The sequence below is a fragment of the Homo sapiens genome, chromosome 1 (assembly GCF_000001405.40).
Source record: "Homo sapiens chromosome 1, GRCh38.p14 Primary Assembly".
Lineage (NCBI taxonomy): Eukaryota > Metazoa > Chordata > Mammalia > Primates > Hominidae > Homo > Homo sapiens.
The window spans coordinates 112,697,291-112,718,214 of NC_000001.11; the positions used below are offsets into that span (position 1 = coordinate 112,697,291).

General features: G+C 54.8%; 3 protein-coding genes and 1 long non-coding RNA gene across 20 annotated transcripts in view, besides 11 other annotated features; 2 read left to right on the top strand and 2 right to left on the bottom strand.

Moving 5' to 3' along the window:
* Window positions 1-3,449, top strand: part of MOV10 (Mov10 RNA helicase) — a 26,301-nt gene extending 22,852 nt beyond the window's left edge. For 10 of the 14 annotated variants that reach the window (NM_001286072.2, NM_020963.5, NM_001130079.3 and 7 more), the window contains 7 exons: window positions 704-821; window positions 997-1,188; window positions 1,425-1,499; window positions 2,395-2,520; window positions 2,604-2,692; window positions 2,929-3,050; window positions 3,126-3,449. In NM_001286072.2, coding sequence (NP_001273001.1) covers window positions 704-821; window positions 997-1,188; window positions 1,425-1,499; window positions 2,395-2,520; window positions 2,604-2,692; window positions 2,929-3,050; window positions 3,126-3,217 — 814 coding nt within the window. In that variant the 3' untranslated portion in view covers window positions 3,218-3,449. Of the gene's footprint in view, window positions 1-703; window positions 822-996; window positions 1,189-1,347; window positions 1,524-2,167; window positions 2,521-2,603; window positions 2,693-2,928; window positions 3,051-3,125 lie in introns of those variants that run through there. The other 4 variants (XM_047421082.1, XR_007060173.1, XM_047421080.1 and 1 more) reach the window with 4 other exon arrangements.
* Window positions 1,697-1,991: an enhancer, noted in NCBI's record as "tiled region #4682; HepG2 Activating DNase unmatched - State 1:Tss". NCBI's record gives its function as "activates a minimal TATA promoter and a strong SV40 promoter by Sharpr-MPRA in HepG2 cells {active_cell/tissue: HepG2}" and the evidence as "EXISTENCE:reporter gene assay evidence [ECO:0000049][PMID:27701403]".
* Window positions 2,994-3,921: an enhancer, noted in NCBI's record as "NANOG-H3K27ac-H3K4me1 hESC enhancer chr1:113242906-113243833 (GRCh37/hg19 assembly coordinates)". NCBI's record gives its function as "activates a minimal SCP1, AML or CMV promoter by ChIP-STARR-seq in naive and primed H9 embryonic stem cells {active_cell/tissue: H9 hESC(naive and primed)}" and the evidence as "EXISTENCE:reporter gene assay evidence [ECO:0000049][PMID:30033119]".
* Window positions 2,994-3,953: a biological region, named in NCBI's record as "NANOG-H3K27ac-H3K4me1 hESC enhancer GRCh37_chr1:113242906-113243833".
* RHOC (ras homolog family member C) lies at window positions 3,841-10,118 on the bottom strand. 3 transcript variants are annotated; one of them, NM_175744.5, is made up of 6 exons: window positions 9,788-9,837; window positions 7,810-7,878; window positions 6,354-6,516; window positions 5,709-5,829; window positions 5,273-5,403; window positions 3,841-4,423 (listed from the first exon to the last, which is right to left on the bottom strand). In NM_175744.5, exons 3-6 carry the CDS (start codon window positions 6,507-6,509, stop codon window positions 4,250-4,252), a joined length of 582 nt encoding a protein of 193 aa, NP_786886.1. In that variant the 5' UTR covers window positions 6,510-6,516; window positions 7,810-7,878; window positions 9,788-9,837; the 3' UTR covers window positions 3,841-4,249. The 3 variants fall into 3 exon arrangements, with proteins under 3 accessions (NP_786886.1, NP_001036144.1, NP_001036143.1); NM_001042679.2 differs by lacking the exon at window positions 9,788-9,837 and adding an exon at window positions 9,543-9,648; NM_001042678.2 differs by lacking the exon at window positions 7,810-7,878 and having other exon boundaries at window positions 9,788-10,118.
* Window positions 3,894-3,953: an enhancer, noted in NCBI's record as "active region_1516". NCBI's record gives its function as "activates an Ori minimal core promoter by ATAC-STARR-seq in GM12878 lymphoblastoid cells {active_cell/tissue: GM12878}" and the evidence as "EXISTENCE:reporter gene assay evidence [ECO:0000049][PMID:35858748]".
* Window positions 6,946-7,500: an enhancer, noted in NCBI's record as "H3K4me1 hESC enhancer chr1:113246858-113247412 (GRCh37/hg19 assembly coordinates)". NCBI's record gives its function as "activates a minimal SCP1, AML or CMV promoter by ChIP-STARR-seq in naive H9 embryonic stem cells {active_cell/tissue: H9 hESC(naive)}" and the evidence as "EXISTENCE:reporter gene assay evidence [ECO:0000049][PMID:30033119]".
* Window positions 8,248-8,297: an enhancer, noted in NCBI's record as "active region_1517". NCBI's record gives its function as "activates an Ori minimal core promoter by ATAC-STARR-seq in GM12878 lymphoblastoid cells {active_cell/tissue: GM12878}" and the evidence as "EXISTENCE:reporter gene assay evidence [ECO:0000049][PMID:35858748]".
* Window positions 9,557-10,276: a silencer, noted in NCBI's record as "silent region_1203". NCBI's record gives its function as "represses an Ori minimal core promoter by ATAC-STARR-seq in GM12878 lymphoblastoid cells {active_cell/tissue: GM12878}" and the evidence as "EXISTENCE:reporter gene assay evidence [ECO:0000049][PMID:35858748]".
* On the bottom strand, window positions 12,708-18,042 carry PPM1J (protein phosphatase, Mg2+/Mn2+ dependent 1J). The gene is made up of 10 exons (NM_005167.7): window positions 17,686-18,042; window positions 16,207-16,321; window positions 15,454-15,741; window positions 15,055-15,167; window positions 14,681-14,765; window positions 13,976-14,094; window positions 13,718-13,781; window positions 13,454-13,561; window positions 13,170-13,321; window positions 12,708-13,020 (listed from the first exon to the last, which is right to left on the bottom strand). Exons 1-10 carry the CDS (start codon window positions 18,009-18,011, stop codon window positions 12,873-12,875), a joined length of 1,518 nt encoding a protein of 505 aa, NP_005158.5. The 5' UTR covers window positions 18,012-18,042; the 3' UTR covers window positions 12,708-12,872.
* Window positions 17,073-17,132: an enhancer, noted in NCBI's record as "active region_1518". NCBI's record gives its function as "activates an Ori minimal core promoter by ATAC-STARR-seq in GM12878 lymphoblastoid cells {active_cell/tissue: GM12878}" and the evidence as "EXISTENCE:reporter gene assay evidence [ECO:0000049][PMID:35858748]".
* Window positions 17,593-18,382: a silencer, noted in NCBI's record as "silent region_1204". NCBI's record gives its function as "represses an Ori minimal core promoter by ATAC-STARR-seq in GM12878 lymphoblastoid cells {active_cell/tissue: GM12878}" and the evidence as "EXISTENCE:reporter gene assay evidence [ECO:0000049][PMID:35858748]".
* Window positions 17,593-18,391: a biological region, named in NCBI's record as "Sharpr-MPRA regulatory region 11832".
* Window positions 18,097-18,391: an enhancer, noted in NCBI's record as "tiled region #11832; K562 Activating DNase matched - State 1:Tss". NCBI's record gives its function as "activates a minimal TATA promoter and a strong SV40 promoter by Sharpr-MPRA in K562 cells {active_cell/tissue: K562}" and the evidence as "EXISTENCE:reporter gene assay evidence [ECO:0000049][PMID:27701403]".
* PPM1J-DT (PPM1J divergent transcript) lies at window positions 18,321-20,506 on the top strand. Of its 2 annotated transcripts, none has more exons than XR_947713.4 (2): window positions 18,321-18,473; window positions 18,879-20,506. It is a non-coding gene; the product is annotated as a PPM1J divergent transcript (long non-coding RNA). The 2 variants fall into 2 exon arrangements; XR_947714.4 differs by having other exon boundaries at window positions 19,161-20,506.
* Window positions 20,507-20,924: the final 418 nt, after the last annotated feature.

The following is a 20,924-nucleotide window of genomic DNA, read 5'->3' on the forward strand; positions in this document are numbered from 1 at the left end:
GAAACCCCATCTCTACTAAAAATACAAAAATTAGCCAGGCATAGTGACAGGCACCTGTAATTCCAGTTACTTGGGAGGCTGAGGCAGGATAATCGCTTGTACCCGGGAGGCAGAGGTTGCAGTGAGCTGAGATCGCGCTACTGCAGTCTAGCCTGGGTGACAGAGCGAGACTCCATCTCAAAAAAAGAAAGAAAAATAGGGAAGATACAGTTTTTTCATAAACCTATTGTTATTCAAATTAAAGAGCTGTATACTTTTAGTGAATGAGTTCAGCCATCTAAAATGCTTAGATAAGTTTTATGCTGTCACTAAGAGCTCAATAAATGTTAGTTATTGTGTCATCACTGCTTATATTTTTTGATTTAACACATGGTCTCATCAAATAACGTGATAGTCAAGGAGAATTTGGTTTCGTACTGTCCTTGGTAAATTTGAAACCTGAAAATGGGCCCCTAATTATTTAGTTTTAAATGTCATGGGTCTGTGGAGTCCCTGGACTAGATGCTCTCTGGAACTATATTTGGTTCTGCTTTCTGTGGTTTACAGTGCCTGGCAGCAGATATTATGGAGGAGTGTCCTGCTATCCAGGGAGCCAGCGGGGTAGCAGGCTATTGTGTGTGGGCCCAGAGTGGGTAGAGCGGAGCCCCTGTAGGGCAGAGGGAATCTGACCCTTGGTCTTGCTTTTCCTCCTCCGGCCTCCCAGGTCTCATCCCACCATCCTGGACATTCCTAACCAGCTCTATTATGAAGGGGAGCTGCAGGCCTGTGCTGATGTCGTGGATCGAGAACGCTTCTGCCGCTGGGCGGGCCTACCTCGACAGGTGAGGCTGAGCAGGGCAGGCCCCACCCCTGTACCCTGACTTCCCTCCCACTGAAGGTGCAGCCCCTCCCTTTGTCACCTTGGCCTAGGATCTCTTACTCTCTGGAAGGGTTTGGGAAGGGAGGGAATAGAGGGAGGGTGGTCTGGCTGACGGTTTCCCCCGACCCCATGTCCAGGGCTTTCCCATCATCTTTCACGGCGTAATGGGCAAAGATGAGCGTGAAGGCAACAGCCCATCCTTCTTCAACCCTGAAGAGGCTGCCACAGTGACTTCCTACCTGAAGCTGCTCCTGGCCCCCTCCTCCAAGAAGGGCAAAGCTCGCCTGAGCCCTCGAAGTGTGGGCGTCATCTCCCCGTACCGGAAACAGGTCAGGTCCTCAGTTACCAGCAAGGGTGGGGCCCCTCCCCCAGATGGTACCTCCTTAATATCCAGACCACTAGGCAGAGGCTCCAGGAGCTTAGGCCTCTGCTGGCTCCGTATCTCAGAAGAGCACCAAGGTCAGCTGCCGCCTCCCTTTGTTCCCCAGCTCCCTGGCCTCCTGCCAGGCTCCCTCTTGCATTAGGTTAATGGCACGAGAGAAAGGCACCTGTCCCCTCCTTCCAGGTGGAGAAAATCCGTTACTGCATCACCAAACTTGACAGGGAGCTTCGAGGACTGGATGACATCAAGGACTTGAAGGTGACATGCTGTTCCACAGTCACTCCCTGCCTTCCGTGTGCCCCCACTTGCCCACTTCCAGAGACTTCCTCAAGCTTCCACTCCAGCCCACGTCCCCGTCCCACCCCTGCTGCCTTGAATAGAGCTCGAGCTCTCCCTGAGCCTCTCACTCCTGGAGATTCCAACTTAAGGGTCTGGGATGGGATCAGGAAGCCTGCATGTTTAACAAACACCTCCTGTCATTCTTAGACTGAGGCAGGTTTGAGGCCTCTGCCCTAAGGATAAAGTCCAAATTCCGTGGCCTGTCATGTGATGCTGCCACCCCCACCCCCAGTAGCCTCTCTCTTAAGGTTCTGGTCTCAACACTGGCTGCAGATAACAATCACCTGGAGAGCTTTTAATACCCCGCCCCCATGCCAGGGCCCCACCCACCAGCTCATACAGCTATCGGGGCAGAGCCAGGGCACTGGTAGTTTTTACAGCTTCTCAGGTGATTCTAATATGCAGCCAGGGTTGAAAACACTGCTCTAAGACTTACAGGCCTCTCTCTTGGAAATTCTGATCGGGGGTCCGGGTTAGGGCCCAGGGTTGTATATTCTTAACAGATACTTAGTGATTGTTTTCAGGAAAGTTTGAAAGTCACTGCTCTGAGTTCCCGTGTTCTTTGCAATGCTGTTTTCTTTCCTTAGAACACTTTGCAGGCCCCAGCCCTCAGCAGGATTCAACCTTCATGTTTCAGCTTCCACAGCCTACCTCCCATCCCCTTTCCCTGGGCCGTGTCGCAGCACTGGTTCACTCACTGATCTACAATTGCCCAGTGACCTCTCTGTACCCTCCTTGGAAGGCAAGCTCCCTGGGGTAGGGCACCCCTTTGACACCCCTGGCTGGTCTCAGGCCCTGCCTCTTTCCCCACTAGGTGGGTTCAGTAGAAGAATTCCAAGGCCAAGAACGAAGCGTCATCCTCATCTCCACCGTGCGAAGCAGCCAGAGCTTTGTGCAGCTGGATCTGGACTTTAATCTGGGTTTCCTTAAGAACCCCAAGGTTTGAGGGCTGGTCGGGGTGGCAGGAATTCTTCCATTCTCGGGGCTCTTCCCTCCCATGACCACACCACTTCTTCCTTCCAGAGGTTCAATGTAGCTGTGACCCGGGCCAAGGCCCTGCTCATCATCGTGGGGAACCCCCTTCTCCTGGGCCATGACCCTGACTGGAAAGTGTGAGCATTCCCACCCCATTCTCCCTCTTAGTGGCCACAGCCCCTGCCTAGGGCAGGTGGATCTTTTTTAAGCGCTTGCTTATCGCTCAGTTAATCCTCAGATGTGTCCATTTTCACAGCATCACTATTGTATTTATAAGTTAAATGACATCCAGAGGTTGAGCAAGTACAGCTCAGATGGGACAGGACCGTGGCTTAGCCTCCAGTCTCTGCTGGCACTCCTCTGTACCCCACAGATTCCTGGAGTTCTGTAAAGAAAACGGAGGGTATACCGGGTGTCCCTTCCCTGCCAAACTGGACCTGCAACAGGGACAGAATTTACTGCAAGGTCTGAGCAAGCTCAGCCCCTCTACCTCAGGTATGGCTGGGCCAGGGTGGGGACAGTGCCAGAGGAGGTGGTAAGGAAGACACAGTGTACTTTCTCTCTTTCCAGGGCCCCACAGCCATGACTACCTCCCCCAGGAGCGGGAGGGTGAAGGGGGCCTGTCTCTGCAAGTGGAGCCAGAGTGGAGGAATGAGCTCTGAAGACACAGCACCCAGCCTTCTCGCACCAGCCAAGCCTTAACTGCCTGCCTGACCCTGAACCAGAACCCAGCTGAACTGCCCCTCCAAGGGACAGGAAGGCTGGGGGAGGGAGTTTACAACCCAAGCCATTCCACCCCCTCCCCTGCTGGGGAGAATGACACATCAAGCTGCTAACAATTGGGGGAAGGGGAAGGAAGAAAACTCTGAAAACAAAATCTTGTTCTATGCAAAAGCCTTGATAATGTCTCCTCTGCCTGGCCCCAGCTTCCTGAGCCCCTAAGCTGACCCTGTAGGGAAGGGTGGGACTTTCAGCCCTGCTGAGGGTCACATCCCCTCCCAGCTGGAGAGGAACCCAGCCCCCACACTCGGGGGAGGAAACCCAGTGGGAGGTGGCAGGGAAGCCACCCACAGGTTTCTAAGTTTAGCCCCCTGCTACAGACCACTCCCTTCACCCGCCTCCTTGGCCCAGAGCCAGGCATGACCTCATCCTTTGCTCTAAGACTCCACCCTGCTGGCCACTGGCCTGCTTTGTAGACAGGGGGCCAGGCTGGCAAGCAACTTGGACATGAAAAGAGATGGGACACCAAGCACCCAGAGGGAAAGACCGAAAGCTGCCACACACGTTGGAGCCTGTAGCCTTTATTCATGCCCCCCTGACCAAATGCAGTGAGAGACAAGGCCCCTGCCGAAAACAACTCCAGGGGCCTGGGACTCTGGGTCCCCTACTGCAGACACTTTCCTGTGAGCCAGAAGTGTATAAAGTGCTGGTGTGTGACCATCCTTTGGGGAAGGTCAAAGGGGGCAAGATCCCCAGGGGCCCTGAGGAAGGGCAGGGCATAGGCGTGGCTCCCAGAGCGCTGGGAGGGAGGGCCCGTGCCACCACCTCGGGGCTAGAAAACAATGCAGTCCTGGGCAGGAGGGAACTGAAAATGGGAGCCTTCAGCATGGAGCCCTCAGGAGGCTGGGGTTGTAGGGGGATAATTTCTGTACCCCTGTGAAGGGAGGGGGCATGTAGGAAAGGCCTTGGGGATCTCAGAGAATGGGACAGCCCCTCCGACGCTTGTTCTTGCGGACCTGGAGGCCAGCCCGAGTGGCCATCTCAAACACCTCCCGCACTCCCTCCTTGGTCTTGGCTGAGCACTCAAGGTAGCCAAAGGCACTGATCCGGTTCGCCATGTCCCGGCCTTCCTCAGACCGAACGGGCTCCTGAGAAGACATAAGATGAGGGGTCAAAGGAAGCTGTTGACTACATGAACCTCTCCTGCCTCACCCATAAGTGTAGCAGCTGGAACAAATGCCTCCTTCTCCAGCCCTGACCCAGAAAGCGCCCAGGCCCCAGCTACCCTGGGCAGCTTCGTGGCCAGGGATCCAAAAATCCCTCCAGTCTACTCCCTCCATTCCCATGCAGCCCCACCTCCTCCCACACACAGCCCCTGGTTCTCTTGCCTGAATGAGCGTCTCCCACCTCCTGACTGCTCTGCCTCCATCCTCACTCTCTTCCAGTCAGAATTATTTTTCTAACACACAGACCTAACATCTCCCCAGTTTGAAACTTTGCCATAATTATCTTTGCATTTCTTATCCTGACAGCTTTCTCTAATAAACTCTAGTCCTCTGGCTAGAGAGCCACTTACAGGTCCCTGAATAAGCCAGCTCTCACATCCCTTCTTCCAGCCACTTACACAATGCCTGCCCTCATTCCCGCATCCACATCCCTACACCTCCCCCAGGGGCACTCTGATGGCACAGCCTGGGTATCCCAAGTGAAACATAAGCTGTCTCCCCGAGGGCAGATTTTCTTAATCATCTTAATAGTCCCAATTCTGAACGGAATGGACAATTAACTGGAATAAATAAAAATGCCAAGTGACTTTGGACAAGTCACTTCATTCTGATACCTCATCAGACACAACCCTATGGGTCCTCCCTCACCAGGAGATATTACTGTTTCCCCTAACACACGGCAGTAGCTGGAGAGAAGTTCCCTTTGCCCGTCTGCAACCCCTCAGAGGGTGCATTCTTCCCCAGGGGCTCCAGCCTGGCAGCCGTACCCACCTGCTTCATCTTGGCCAGCTCTCTCCTGGTGTGCTCGTCTTGCCTCAGGTCCTTCTTATTCCCCACCAGGATGATGGGCACGTTGGGGCAGAAGTGCTTCACCTCTGGGGTCCACTTCTCAGGAATGTTTTCTGTGTAGACATGCACCAACAGGTGTCGGTGCCTCCACTTAAGCTAGAAAGCTCCCCTGGGGGGGCCCTCATCTTCCCAGAGCAGTCTTAGAAGCCATTCAGCATGATGGTCCCTTTCACAGCTCAAAACCTCAACAGTAGTATGCCCTCAGAGGGCCAGTTACCACAGTAAAGGAGACCAACAGGGCCTGAGTGCTCCCCTGCATCCCCACCCCCACCTCTGAAGATGACTGAAGACAGGCCAAGGCACGAGACCTCTGGCTGATTCCAAGGGGTTCTCAGTCCCCTCCCTCCAATCCCCTCACCCAGGCTGTCAGGGCTGTCGATGGAGAAGCACATGAGGATGACATCAGTGTCCGGGTAGGAGAGAGGCCGCAGTCGATCATAGTCTTCCTGCCCTGCTGTGTCCCACAGAGCCAGCTCCACCTGACACACAGGGCCAGTGAGTAGCTGGCCTGAGGGCCCCAACCCTGCCACCCAAAGGTCCCCTGAAACCACTGTCCTTCGGGCTCACTGAACTTCTTTATTTGAGCACCTGCTATGCACCAGGCATTATATTAATCACTGTCCCACAACATAAATTAGGTCAGTTTGTTAAAGAAATCTAAGACGTGTTTGACCCTTGAGTTGCCACTGTGAGCACCATTATTTTGGTTAATTCTCACAACAACCCTTTGAGGGAGGTCTTACCATCATCCCCATTTTGCAGGTGGGGGAGCTTAAACCCAGAGGCAAAGGGACTCGGCCCAGGTTACAGAGCCAGTCTGTGGGAGAACCAGAAAGTATATCCAGGTTTTTTAAGACTGCAGATTTACTTCCTAACTTTTACTGGTTCCAGCAGGGAGAATGAAGCAAAGACAGGGGTAGGAATGGGGAAGGACATACTAGGTCATTCAGTGACTGGGGGGCGGGGTCTCAGGGTGGGGTGGGAAGGGCATTTCTGCCTTCACCTGCTTGCCGTCCACCTCAATGTCCGCAATATAGTTCTCAAAGACAGTAGGGACGTAGACCTCCGGAAACTGATCCTTGCTGAAGACGATGAGGAGGCAGGTCTTCCCACAGGCACCATCCCCAACGATCACCAGCTTCTTTCGGATTGCAGCCATGGTGGGGCTGCCAGGAAAGACGTATTGGGGATTTGAGGAAAAGCCATTAAGTCCAAAAACACTTCTCTAGGGCCCCCAAACCTCCCTGGAAACCGAGGCATCTAGCAAAGGGACAGGGGGCTTGCTCAGGCATGTTCTGGCAAAACACCAATTGTGCGACAACAGAGCTTGAAATTCCTAATCTCTGGGTCAGGGACAGGTCTCCCTCGATGGGTTAGAATACAGTGGTGGGAGGTAGATGATGACCCCACTTGGGAGCTGGAAAACATGAGTTTCAATCTAATCCACTTGCCAACCTGGGGACTCCAGGTAGCTAGAGAGCTGCTCAGGGATGCGGGACGTCCAGGGAGCAAGCTTCTATCTACTTCACACATCAGGGTTTCGAGTCAGACTTCATTGGTTACCAGGATTTTGATGCATTTACAGTTTAATAATCTCTAAGGTCCAATCTAGAACAGACTGTCCCTCAGCACAAGTCATACCTGTCCAGTCACAAATGAGGAGTCCCTCTCTAGGACCAGAGTAGCAGAACCAGCTACCAGGTGGTAGGTGGGTAAAGGAAGAATAGTTATAGAGCCCCTAGGTGCCAGGCACTCTGTCGGGCATTTTGGCAGGAATTATCTCCTTCGGTACCCAGATGCCTGGAAGGTAGATGGTGCACTTTCCATTTTGACAAACCAGGAAACTAAGGCTCAGTGAGGTTAAGACAGATTCAGAGCTGTGGCTTATAAGGGGCAGGGACAGCACCCAAAGCAGGACTGTGTGACTCAAAGTCGTGCCTCTTCGACATGTCACCTCAGGGGCAGGAGGGAGAGCAGAAGCAGGGAAACCCAGACAGAGGACAGGGGTAGCAGCCAGCCAGCTTCCCTGGTCCACCCCACCCGGTCCCCAAAGCCCCAAGTAATACAAAGGAGGCTCAGTCCCAGCAATGCCCACAGCTCGAGTTTGGGCAGGCTGCCTTCCTCCCCCCTTCCTCCTAGGCCTGCCAGCAACACTGGGTCACTCAGCCCCCGGCAGGGGACAATGACCACACTGTAGGGAGCCACACATCTACCACAGCACAGTGACTGAGAAGAATCCACCAGGGAATCACCTCCACCCACTCTGGAACAGCCCCTTCCTCCCTCAGTCCAGCTCACCCGCATGCCCTGCCCACCCCTCCCTGTGACTCAGGGCAAGGAGTCAGCTTCCCGGGCTTCCATGTGTCCCCCACCCCCAGCACACACAGCGAGCATCTGCACAGTTCATCACACCTTCGCAGCTTCCCTCACTTCCTCCTTCCCTGGGGAGGGGAACTGACCTCCAGCCGGCTGAAGTTCCCAGGCTGCAGGAAGAGAGGGCGGGCTCTGGAGCTGAGATGAAGTCAAGGCTGTTGGGAAGGGGGAGGGGGCTAGAGTCTGGGCTGGGAGGAGCCCCAAAAGAAGAGACAAATGAGGGCCAGTCCCAGCACCAACCAGGCAGGGAGCAGTTAAGAAAGCGACGGTAACCTGATCTCAGCCTCAAACCTAGCTTTTTCTCTCAGTCCCACATCCTGTCAAACTGGGCTGACTGAACGCCTCTACTCCCCACACCCCACCACCACCTCACACTGCCCTTTAGGAAGCGAATACTCCAGCCCCAGGCCTCTTCCCTTCAACATAGATCCTGAGTGGCCCTTCCCTTGCCTCCAGACACATTCACAAAACTGTTGGTTTTGTGGACATGAGTCAGAGAATTTACAGGAGTTCAAAGTACACAGCCACACTCTTCCCACCACAAAACGGACTCTCTCTGATTCCCCAGAAGACAAGCAAGAAGGCATTCACCCTGTCGGCAGATCGCCTCCAGAAATGGAAACCATCCTCCAAAAAGAGGGTTCCTTGGGAATTCTATCCCGGTGACTGACGCTGGGATTTCTTCCAACTCCTCCACCCACTCCATTAGTTCACCTTGCCCTGTTTTGTAAAGATGGGCTGGGGTAGCCCCAACCTGGGGTGGGCAGTGTTGATGGAGGGCAATCACTACTGGGGTGAAAGCCAGTCACTTAGGCATGAGTATGCCACTGCTGTCCCCCCAGCAGGGTAATTCAGACGGCACCAGAGTGGTGGGAGGCAGAGGACAGAAACCCGGGGTTGAGGCATGCGTTAAGGGACCTGGAGCCTCCAGCCCAATTAGAAGACTTTCCCTCCAGGCTATGATTGGGCCAGAACAGCAGGCAGCCCAGGCCAGGACACTAGGCCCAAGGCCAAGATGGCATGGACAACTCCCTGTGAGAGGCAGCCCCAGAGGGACTGTCCCACTGACCCCTTAAGAGGGGCAACTGAGCCCCACACAGGGCCTGGAATGGAGCCTGGAACTTCTGGGGCCTTCCCCAAGACAAGACAGTGTGGCTACATCAGACCTCTCTCCAATCGCTCTCTTGAATTCCCAGATGATCCAGAGCGGCCGGTTGACTTTGCCGGCCCACCCTACACCTAGGGAAGGAATCCGTTCTGGAGATACCAAGAGATACTGCATTCTCAACTTTAAAACCAGAGTGAGGGCGGGACTCGGCCTCGGGATCCCAGTCCCAAACCCCAGGATACTCTTTCTTGGTTCGAGTATGAAGAAGGAGGATTCTCAATCTCATTTTCTCTCTCTCTCTCTCTCTCTACACACACACACACACACACACACACACACACACCACACACACACACACACACACACACACACACACACACACACACACACACACACACACACACACACACACACACAGAGTTGGATCCTTCCCCATCTCCCTTATCCTCAACACAAGCGGGCTCCAGGAACCGTCCAGGGCGGCGTCCAGACCCTGCCGAGCAGTGGCAGGCCCCAATGGTCACATCCCGCCCCTATTCCCGCCATACCTCCCTCCTGGCCTGGAGGAATTCCCACCCCATCCCACTCTAGGTCCCCTGCGGCCGCCCACCCTGGGGGCTGGGGCGTCTGAGTTGAAGTTCCCTCGCCCCTCGCCCGGCGGGGCAGGTTCCGGGAAGCTGGGAGGAGAAGGGAAGGGGCTCCGACTCGGACCTCAGGAGGCCAGAGCCCCTGCCGGCAGGTCCGGGCCCCCTCGCTGCAGCCCGGGGAGGGGCCGACGCGGTCCGACCACCGCCCAGCCCGGATGCCGACTCCGCTTGGAGGGAACGGGGTCCACGCCCAGGCCGAAGCCCCTCCTCGCACGGGCCCCGATCTCCGGGCCAGCGAGGAAGGGAAAGTGCTCTCCTGGGGACGAGTTCCCAAGACGCCCCACCGCCCGCAGCCCCGGCCCAGGGTACCTTCCGCTCCGCCGCCTCCAGCTGCGCGGCCGGTGCCGGAGGCTCAGACTGACCCCAGGGCCCCGCCCCGCCCTCCTCCAGCGCCGCGGCGGGGAGGGCGGGCCCGGCAGGGGGAGGGTCGGCCGGGGGCGGCCCTTGGCTCGGCCCGCCCCGGCCCCGCGCAGGGCCGCAGCCACCGGCCCCCTCCGCAGGCCGGGGACTGGGGGCCAGGGGCGTCCACCCCTCCAGGTCGGGGAGAGCCACGGGGAGATTCCTGGACTGCGGAGGAGCCGGGCGAGCGGGGGGAGCACGACCCGGGTGGACTCAGACTCTGCCCAGCCTTCAATCCCCTAGGGGAGGACCGGCGTCGGGAAAGTTAAGAGGTGCTCGGGGTGGGGTCAGGAAGGGCCGCTGCTGCCCTCCTGTGGCCAAGCGGCCACCCGCTCCTGCTGCACCTGGGACCTCGCGGGAAGCGGGACTGGGAAAGGGTATCCGCCGGGAGGTCCCAGGGCCCGGCGCGGGTGTGTTGGTTGGGGGGAGATGTCCACCCTCTTGTTCCTAGGATCGTACAGCCCAACGTCATCCCCCAAACTTGAAGACCTCTCAGAGCCGTTCAGACCCAGACCACCGTTCCTCCTCACAATTCGCTTTCTTCCCTGGGCCTGGAATTTCCAGGAGTCCAATTCCTACCTACTCCTCAAAGGGTGCGCCTAGAAATGCTTCTGGATCCCAGCTGTGAATTCTGTTCCCACTCCTAGGTCTGACTTGGCGCATAGGATATTTACCTACACGCGTATCTCCTTTCCCTGTAAGGGAGCTGAGGAGGTGGGAGTAGAATGAGGACGTCCACCAACATTTCATTGGCTTGTGCTTGGGACACTACACAGCTTAACCCTTTCAATATTCATCACAGATCTCTGGGGAAAATATACCCATCCCCTTTTGCCCATAGAGAAGCTGAGGTTCAGAGAAATCAAGTGGCTTACACAACTGTTTTTGACTTGTGACAGCAAGAATTCACACAGCCGGGCCTGTCTGGCTCCAAACTGGTGGTCTGGCCCTGCTACCTCACGGGCTCCTCCAGCCTGTCCCTTCCCCCGTTGTCTAGCAGAGTGAGTGGCACATAATAGGTTGTCAACAAATATTTGATGAATGAATGAATGTTAGGAGTCATACAGACTTTAAATATCTGAAGTGCAATCCAGACATTTGACAAATGTGAAAACAGGTCCGCAGCAGTTTGGCCCCAGGCCTCTTAACTGACTCAATGAACATTTCTCGAGGGTGAACTGAGAGCTATGTTCGGAAGATCCATTTCTGCCTTCAAACAACTTAGAGTCTAAATGAGGAATGCAATTTCAAGATAGCTAACATTTATTGAATCCATATTACATGGACCTGGGTCCACATACATTAACTACAAGAATCCCATGAGGTAGCTATCTCCATTTTACTGAGAAGCAAATTGAGGTTCAGAGAGGTTACAGAGCTAGTGCTGGGTCTGACACTAGAACCCAAACAGCTGAACTCTAGAGCCCCTGTTCTTAATTCCTACTCCCTACTGACTCCTAATGTAGACAGTTACAATACCGGAGGTCATTGCTGTAGTGTGGGCATGTGTGGGCTGTGCGATACCCAGTCCTGAACAACAGGTGAAGTTCTCAAGATAAGGTGATGTGTAGATTTTTTTAATTTTAATTTTTTTTTGAGACAAGGTCTCTGTTGCCTAAGTGTGCAGTGGCAAGATCTCAGCTCACTGCAGCCTCAACTTTCCAGGCTCCAATGATTTTCCCACTTCAGCTTCCCCAGCAGCTGAGACTACAGGCGTGTACCATCACACCTAATTTTTGTATTTTTTGTACAGATGAGGTCTTGCTATATTGCCCAGGCTGGTGAGGGGCCTTTTCTAATTATTTTGCTCATCTTTATTTTTGCTTCCCTTAACTTACTTTGGGTTTAATTTGCTGTTCTTTTTCTAGCCTCTTAAGGTGGAAACAGATCACTGATTTGAGATCTTTATTCTTTTCTACTATAAGCAATACTCTTAATTTCCTTGGATGCTTAACTGCTTCCCACAGGCACTCACCACTACATTCAGCTAATTTTTTATTTTTTTGTAGAGATGGGGTCTCACTATTGCCCAGGGTGGTCTTAAACTCCTGGGCTTAGCAGTCCTCTCACCTCTGCCTCCCAAAGTGTTGGGATTACAGGCGTGAACCACCGTGTCCAGCAGTAGATTTTGAATAAGTTGGAGCTACTAAAAGCCCACAGTTATGCAAACCCCAGGAAGTTGGTGGTGGTGGTAAAAAATGAAGCTGGAGAAGGAAGCAGTGGCTGGATCATGAAGGTCCTTATATGCCATGCACAGGAGTTGAGTGTTGATTTTGTTCTAGGCGCAATAAGGAGCCACTAAATTTAGGAGGCCAATATAGTAAAAGGTGGTGGTGACTGAAGGCGGGGAGAGATGGAGATAAGTAGAGAAATACTTTTAAAGGTCTATAGTCAACAATACTTAGTGATCAATTACCTTGATGAGAAAGAAATGAAAGCCAAGGGTGACCAACTCCAAGATTTCTAACTGGAGCAGCAGAGCTGGTGCCCATTGAGGGGATATACCAGGAGAAGGAACATGCTATGGAGGGCAGTCGTGAATTTAGTTTGAGGTATTTGAATTGAAGTGCCAGCAGGCTATCCAGGAGACATTCGGGAGATGACTGGTATGTGTGGGTCTAAAGCTCAGGAAGGGTCTGGGCAGATGGGTGAGGCCACAGAAGTGGATGATGACACTCACAGCAAATGCGTGGAGTGGAAAGAGTGGGGGTGGAATAAAGAACCTGGGGGACACCACATTTCTAGAACTGTTCTGGTGCTCTTTCCACCACCCCACAGAGCTTTCTTCTTATCTTTCAGTTTCTAGTCAAAGCAAATACAGACACACACCTTTATCCATCTCGTTTATTTGCCAATAGCTGTAATTTTGGATATAGCGGACATCCCTTCTTCAGTTAAGTTGCCACTAAAGAAGGGTCAGGGAGACAACTTCAGAATTTGGGCTGTGAGAGGAGTAAGTATGGAGAGGCTAGTGGGAGGGATGGTGTTCAGCCCCTCAGGAGTAACTGCCTGGCCCTCCCAGGGGGATGACGAAGACAGAGATGTCATCCCCGGAACCCAGCTTGTTGTTGGGGAGACGCCAGCCACGGTCTCGGGGGGTACCCCGGGCCCCCAGGACCAGAGCTTGGGCCAGAGCTGTATACCTGCCAGGAGCACACATGCACATTCATGTACCAACATGTATGTGGGAAGACAGATACACAGGCCCACATGTGGGGTCCCAAGCATTGCTTCCCTTTGACCCTTCTTTCACCAATGCCATCCCCTTACCACCATGCCATGCAGCCCCTACCTGCTGTGGTCATTAGGCTCATAGGCCGACAGCACCCTGTCCACAGTGGCAGCTACCTCACAGTCAGTAGTGACATCCCACAGGCCATCTGTTCCCAGGACTAGCACATCATCTGGGCAGTGCTCATATTGTGTCAGGTCATACACTCGTACCTGGTGGGAGAAAAGGGCAGAGAGGATTGAGGTGTGGGGTTTGCTGGACAGGGAGCTTGGAGATAAAGGGACTGCAGATGAAAGCTGGCCTGAGACTCCCAGAGAAGGCAAGGTGTGGTTTAAGGGGCTCACCTCAGGGAAGCAGGAGAGAAAGGGCTTGATGGGCAGGGTGGAACTGCAGACCTTAAGGCTGTGGTCTCCCAAGCCTCGGGTCACCCCAATGGTGGCCATCACCCGAGCCTGAAAGAAATGAGGAGGGAGTGCCACTGTAGTCCTCTGCTAGATTCTCTGAAACCAAAGATCCCTTCCACCCCTACCCTCAGGTAGAACCTCCACCTCCCTAGACAAGTTGTGATAGGTCCTCCTCCCCTCTCCCACCTCTACCATGGAGTTTACCTTTTTGCCCTCCCCACAGACCAGAGGAAACCTGAGATCCTCCAGCTCGATCTTTTTGTAGGCCCTGGGGAGGGGGGAGTAGAGGAGGCATCACCCAGGCATCAAAGCCCCTCTCCCCTAGGAGCTGCATACCCTCACACAAACCCCTTAGAAGGGCCACATCCTCCCAACTCCCAGCCTCCAGCTTCCACCTTGCTGCGGGCGAGGGACTGGTTGTGTTGCCATGGGAACGGGCCCCAGCTCTGAGGGAAGTGTTACCAGCCGGTCATGTTCTGGTCCCGGTACAACATCCTCTGCCCCAGCTCCTTGGGCAGAACTCTGCGGGGGAACTCAAGGTGGGTGAATTCACTGCCTAGCAGCTCTGGTTTCAGGAAGCCCTGGAGTTGGGGATGATCAGAACAGAGAGCCAGGGGGCATTATGCTCACAGCACACGGTGGCACACAGATGACGTTGACTACAGCAGACCCTTAAACAGAGTTTACCATGTGCCACACGTTATTCTAATATTAGCAAATATTAACTCATTTACTCCTCACAACAGCCCTTAAGGCAGGAACTATTGATGCACAGAGAGGTTAAGGGAGGGAACTGCTCCGGTCACACAATTAGCAAAGCACTCAGACCAGGATGCATCCCGGGCTTCCAGCTCCACAGCCACATGCGTTTAGGCACTAAGCCGGACTGCCTTTCAGGGGCCTTTGCTGTTTCCTTCCCCCACCTCAGTCTCTACTTCCTGCCTCAGCTGGGGCCACAGTGGGAGCACTGGACCAGCCCAGTGCTGCAGCCTCCCTGCTGCAACCTCCCACCGGCTCAGCCCCGCACTCCATAGTCCACACAGCGGCCTTCCCAGTAAAGTGCTTTCTGTGCCTGTGGTGGGGGTGTGAGAGTTCTCAGGGCCATGGGGTGCAGGGAGGCACAAGACCCGACAAAGAATGGGGGTAGGGAATTTGGTTCCTACTTACAAGCAGCTGAAGACGCTGGCGCTCAGTCTCCGGGGTAAACTCCCGGGACATTGGAATGATTTCACCATTCCGGACAATGATGGCCCTGCCCAAAGAAAGAAAAGGAATTGGGACCTGGTTCTCTTCAGACCCACTCATGAAAAATTCCAGAAAGACCAGGCCCTCTCCATAATGACCTTTCAGATCTCTTACCCAGACCCCCATATCTGCCCCTGACCCCACCCAATGGATATTTCAGGCCACTCCTTATGTCTGTCACCCCTCTTGACTCCCTCCAATCTTGATTTTTAACCCCTGCCACCTTACTCTCCTGTATTCCCCCAACTCAGAGAGTGTGGCCCTCTGTCGCCACCTTGGAGCCCCCTCCCCCATACCTGCTATCGCCTGCATTGGCCACGTACACCTTGCCTAGCAGGTAGATCACAACCAGTGCACAGCAGCCCCCCTCCACTTGGTGGCCACGCCGCTCCCGGGCCATCTGCTCATCCTGCCACATAAGGAAGGGTCAGAGGTGGGTAGAAGGAGAGGTTCCAGCACACAGTCACCCTCCCCCTACCCCCTCCACCCGTAGAAATCAACTGGCCCAGCCAGGCTACACTGGAAGACAGGAGGGAAGACTGGGGTGTAACTGCCCCTTCTCCCTCCCCTCTGAACCAAGCTCTGCTCAGGCTCTCAAAGGTGTTGTGGGTTCTCAGGGTAACCCCCTCTGGCTTCCACACAGAGTTGGCCAGAGTGGTTGCCTAGCAGGCTCTTGGCCCAGGTCACCCACTCACCATGAGCTGGAAGGCATTCTCAACGGCCCCCACTACCAGGCTCTCGTGGCTCACTTCCTTCTGTGAAGACCAGCAGGACTGAGGGCCAAGCAAGTGAGAGGGATCGGAGGAATCTGGGGTCCCCGGAGTGGTTGGGAGGCAGAGGGGTGGTGGCGAAGGGTCCTGAAGTATCTCTACCAGGTCCTTTAGCTGCTCTCGGATATGGCGATGCAGGAGCCGTGAGGCCATTTCAGCAGCTCCGCCCCCTGCATGCCCATCAAATAGGCCCCAGTAGTAGAAGCAGAGTCCCTGGTGGAGGAAAAGTTGGAGGTGAGTTTTGTTTGTGTGTGTGTGTGTGTGTGTGTGTGTGTGTGTTATGCAAGGTGAATAACAAGACTCTGGGCATCCATACAAACATCTGAGAGGTCAGTGTTTGCTACTGAAGGCAAATTAGGTTTATTCACATAAGGCTTCGTATGTGTCAAGAGAAAGGAAAGGCTCAAAAACCCAAACTCAGAGGATAACAGATCCAAAACTCAGCACTGGCAATTAAATCATCCATAAATATGTGAGCCTCTACATTTTAGGTGGGAAAGTAACATTCATGCTTACATGGTAGAATCTAACTGATGAATACCAGGTAAAGGTTCTGTGCCAGAAGGTAGATAGCCAGTGAGTTCATCAGGTCTTCCGCATGGCTCAGATTTAAAACCAGAGGCCTGAGTCCCTGGGGAGAGGTGTCACTGTGTCTCTGGGAAAGGGGATGGGTCTTACCTGGCCTCGGCTAGGCTCCCTAGGTACTCCTGTAACACTCCTCCGACCTTCCACATACACCACTTCACAGCAAGCCTGGTCCTCATTGTGCCGACTCTTGCCAGCATTGATGACCCTGCCAGGCCAGAATGACCACATCAGGTTGGACACCAGACCAGGTCCTGGAATAACCCCCACCTTAGACACACACCGTCTCCTGCGCCCGCTGGCCAAGCTGAGAAAGGTCACAGCCACCTGGGATCCAGGCCAGAGGGAGGAGGAGAAGGGAGGGCTGGCAAGGTGTAAGGAGTACTGTTTGGGTGGCCAGCCCTACCACTTCACAGAAAGGCCAGCAGGAGCTTCTGGCCAACCGCTATGTCCCCTGCCTGCCTCACTTCCCCCATCCCTGGCAAAAAAAAAAGAAAAAAGAAAAAGGCATTCCTAGTGGTGCTTCTGGGGGAGGGGCTAGTTGGTAGCAGAAGTTTTACTTCCCTGCTAGCTAGACCCTACATCCCACCCTCAACCACTATCAACTCTCCCAGTGCCTTGTCCCCAGCACCTCATCCTCATGGGCACACCCACCCTTATCCTAAAACCATCCAGCGAAAGTTTCTGCTGCCTTAACAATGAGGAAGCTCTCCAGCCCAGATCGGGAAAGAGGAACTGAAATAGAGTAGAAGTGAAAGCCCACCTGGACTGGGCAGGAGCCACATACCCATAAACTCCTCCCACACAGGAGGCTAAGGGAGGTGGTGGTGGGTCCATGGGCCACCAGCCACCTTCCTCAGCGAACTGAGCGCCCCCATCTCCCTCGGTGCTCTGCGTTCCCGGCAGATGCATTTAAAATACACACAGCCCGGGGGCCAGCCGGCCGCTCCGGGCAGGGGGTCCGCTTCTTTGCCAGGCCAGCACGAGTTGGCAGGCTGAAGGGCATCTAAATGGGACCCTCCTCTACCCCGGGCGTCCCCCTCCCCGCTCCTGGGGAAGCTGGCGGCCTCCTGGTGTCGCGGGCTATTTCTGGGTGTGGAGGGGGAGGGGAACTACGGTAAGAGGGACAGGGAACTGGGGCGCTGGAGCCGGGAAGCGGGTGAGCGAGTCTTCCCAACCGCTATGTCCCCTATTAAAAAGAACCCCGCTCCTTCGTGAAACCCCTTTTCCCTTAGCCTTTAAGCTGCCGGGCCGCGACGGGGAACTGGCCAACTCATCCTTCGCCGGGCTCTCCGCCCTCCGGGCTCTGGGGCAGAACAGGGTCCTGAGGCGGCGTGGGCGAGGGCAGTCAATGAGCGGGAAGGACGTGAAGAAGGTGACACAGGCTGCCCCCCACTGGAAAATGGGTTGGGAGGGGGTGCGGCCCGAAGACCAGAGGATAGCAAAGGTCCACGGAAAAGGGAGCTCCTGGCCCGGACGCGGCGTGGGGAACGCGTCCTAGCGCCGGGGATGCGGAGCTGGGGAGAGGGGTGGGAGCCCCATCCTGGTTTGGGTGCCCCAGGGGGCGCTCACTCGGCGTAGCCTGTGCTCCAGGGCAGGCGGCGGCCCGTGTCCGGGGGGCTTTGCACAGCCCGGCCCGCGTGGTCATCGGCGCGTCGCAGCCCCCCGGGGCTCAGCTGCAGAAAGGTCGGTCTGGAGAAGCTCGCTCGAGCCTCAACAGCCTTCGCGGGCGTCGCGCTCCCGCTCCCAGCCTTCGCGGGAGGGCTCCTGGGCGCTTCTGGAGCGGCGGCGGGCGGCGCCGAGGCGGCGTTGGGCAGGTCCGGGGATTTGGGGCGCGGAGGCGGAGCGCCCCCGGAGCTCACCAGGTGCGCCACGGCCGAGCGCACCCGGTTTAGCATGCTGCCTCCCTGCCCCGCCCTCGGCCGCGGCCCCGCCCCCGCCCAGGCCCCGCCCCCATGGCTCCGCGTGGGCGGTGCTCGCGCCAGCCGGCCCTTCCCTGCTACTGGCTCCCGGCCAGCTGGGCGGGTCCCGGGCGAAACTTGCCCTTGCTCTGGGCCACCCCAGGAACCGGCCCACGGGTCCCCGGCCTCTGCCCCGCCCCATTCCGGCTTGGCCCCGCCTCCGTTTCTTAGGGGTAGGTTCTGTTGCTGTGGGAAGGGGGCGGAGAGAAGGAAACCTTATTTCAGCCGTGCGCTAGATTAGACACAGCTAGAATGTCTCCATTGTGACGGGGGCTGAGGGACAAGGGGGTGCGGTCTCCTCGCTCTCGGTTCGGTGTGGCCAGCCAGCCCAGAGAGCCATGGAGCTAATGACCTCAGAGCAAAACAGGCGCTTGGGAGCCGCTGGGTATGAGGCGCCAGGTGTGACACCACCTCTGGATGGGGCTGCTGGAGCGAGAGCGGGCAAGCTGGTACCGGGTGGGGTTGCGGGATTAATGACGCAGGCTGCAGCCGACCACCCCGGAATCAGGAGCCGGGGTAGATTCCTGGGCTCCTGATGCGCTGTTCCCCGTGAAGACCACCTCTAGATCTGGGAGAGCGGTTGCTACTCCCACCCTCCTTTCTCTCTCAGAACCCAGGTCTTTCCCACAATGCAGACCTTCCCTGACCACAGCAGGACAAGCTATTAATAGGATAATAACAACATAACAAATACTATTTATTGAAGAAGTACTGCATACTAGACCCTTTACAAAGCACGTTCCATACAGTATTAGGTTATTTATACTGCACACCAATCCTTCAAGATGGTTTTTTTTCTGTCAGTTTCACGGATGAGGCAGGACGGGACGCTTCCTGTCATTTTACCGTGACTTGCCCCAGGAGGTCACACGGTCAAGTGAAAGATTCACACCTATGTCGGCCTCCTGACATTCAAACCTGCTCTGTCTTAAGAACCAAGCTTACTTCTCCGGATCAGGGAGGAAGGGCTAGAAAGGAGATCAATGGCAGAGAGAGGAGTGGGGGTTCCTCCCCTCCCATCCTTCTCTTAGGGCCAGGGCTGAGAGCAGTCCGGGAATGCTGAGCAAGTTCTGTGTCTACCGCCAGGGGGAGACAGAGGCCAGGCTAAGCCCTTGCCTAAGAAGAGTAAAAGCACACTCACTGGAAGACCAGGACAGAGCCCAATGCCTGGTTGGCTGCCCGTTCTTCCTAACTTCTCCCCTCTGGGAGAGGGTGGTACTGACCTGATGCCACAAGAGCTCTGTCTCTAAACCTCCTATCAGAAAGTTGATCGCTAGGTATCCACAGACACCACCCATCCACACATCTCAAATGGGGACAACGCCGTTGTGGCCCTCAAGCAAGTTGGAAGTAGCCATCAGGGACTACGGCACCCAGTTCACGGCTGGAACTTTTCTGGGCTCTGTCGGCCAGGTGCTTCCTGACCACATACCACTTTGTTCCCCAGGCTAAACTGTGTCCCCAGAAGGGATGACTTTCTTGGCAGCTTCCAAATAAAGATCCCACAGTGGTCCTTCAGGTTGGTAGACTTACTATGCCTGCTTTGTTACACCTGAGCTTTAGGCAGAGAGAGACAGAGGAAAAGAAGTCACAGGAGAGAAAAAAAACAGACCCCAAGGCAAATAGAGCAGCAAAAGAAGACGGGGACAAAGAACAGGCTGCTTCTATAGGTTTTCCCCTGCTATTTGAGAAAAACTGGAACCAACTCTCAGATAAATAACAGCAGCAGCAAGCCAGCAACTGAAGAAACAAATATAACTCCTGGTTGTTTTTATTATTCAGTGTTTCTGGGACAGTTTACTTACCACTTCTTCGTGTCACCCAGCTCCCTATTCCCTGCCCTTTCTAGCACCCACCATGGTGTGGCTGCAAGCTGTCCGCAAAGCTAAGCCAAGAGACCCCCCCAGCCCCAGCACCAGATGATCAGCAGGGAGAATAACAGCTCCCTGGGGCTCCAGAACAGCCCCCAGCCATGGCCTAATCCTAAGGCTCCTCCTCCCTGAACCTCTCACCTCCTATTCCTGGCACCATTATGCCTCCTCCATCCTCAGACTGCCCCAGAACCTGGTGAGGTCATCACCTCTACTCATCCCTGAGGCAGCGGAAAGTGAGAGAGAAAAGGGGATGGGGTATGAAGAAGCAGACTTGTGGGATGTTTTTCTCTGTGAAGAGTGAGACTCTGCTTAGTGGCTGGCCCTGCTGGGGGAGTGTGAAGCTTGAACCAAGGAGGGGGACTGGACAGCCTCAAGACAGGCCCCTTTATCTCAGGCCACAGTGGTGGCTCAGGGCCCAGAACTGGTCATCTTCTGCCTTGTCTCTCCCCTTCACATCACCCTAAACCCAAAGGCCTCTTAAACTAAGAGGAAAGTCCCTTCAAATTCACAGAACACCACTTCCTCTCATTTGTCTAATACATTCGCATCCAAAACAGATCTCTGTAAAGAATTATTCAGTTGCAATTAATTACATTACAATTTTTCTGATAAAGAAACTGGGTCTCAGGCCAGGAGTGGTGGCTCACACCTGTAATCCCAGCACTTTGAGAGGCCATGGTGGATGGATCAGTTGAGTCCAGGAGTTCAAGACCAGCCTGGGCAACATAGCAAAACCCTGTCTCTACAAAAAATACAGAAAATTAACCCTGGCTTGGTAGTGCACTACAGACTACCCCTATAGTCCCAGCTACTCAGGTGGCTGACATGGGAGGATCATTTGATCCCAGGAGGTGGAGATTACAATGAACCAAGATCTGGGTGACAGAGTGATGAGATCCTGTCCCCAAAAAATAAATAAATAAAAAAGAAAAGAAAAAGAATGAAAGAAAGAGAAGGAAGGAAGGAAGAAAGAAAG

Coding starts and splice junctions, on each gene's coding strand:
- RHOC (NM_001042678.2), bottom strand. CDS start 6,509: ATGGCTGCAATCCGAAAGAAGCTGGTGATCGTTGGGGATGGTGCCTGT. Junction 5,830..6,353: donor TTGAGGTGGACGGCAAGCAG/GTGAAGGCAGAA, acceptor CCTGTGTGTCAG/GTGGAGCTGGCTCTGTGGGA. Junction 5,404..5,708: donor CGACAGCCCTGACAGCCTGG/GTGAGGGGATTG, acceptor ATGTCTACACAG/AAAACATTCCTGAGAAGTGG.
- PPM1J (NM_005167.7), bottom strand. CDS start 18,011: ATGCTAAACCGGGTGCGCTCGGCCGTGGCGCACCTGGTGAGCTCCGGG. Junction 16,322..17,685: donor TGGAGCACAGGCTACGCCGA/GTGAGCGCCCCC, acceptor CTGGCCTGGCAG/GGTCATCAATGCTGGCAAGA. Junction 14,766..15,054: donor GCCAATGCAGGCGATAGCAG/GTATGGGGGAGG, acceptor TTCTTTGGGCAG/GGCCATCATTGTCCGGAATG.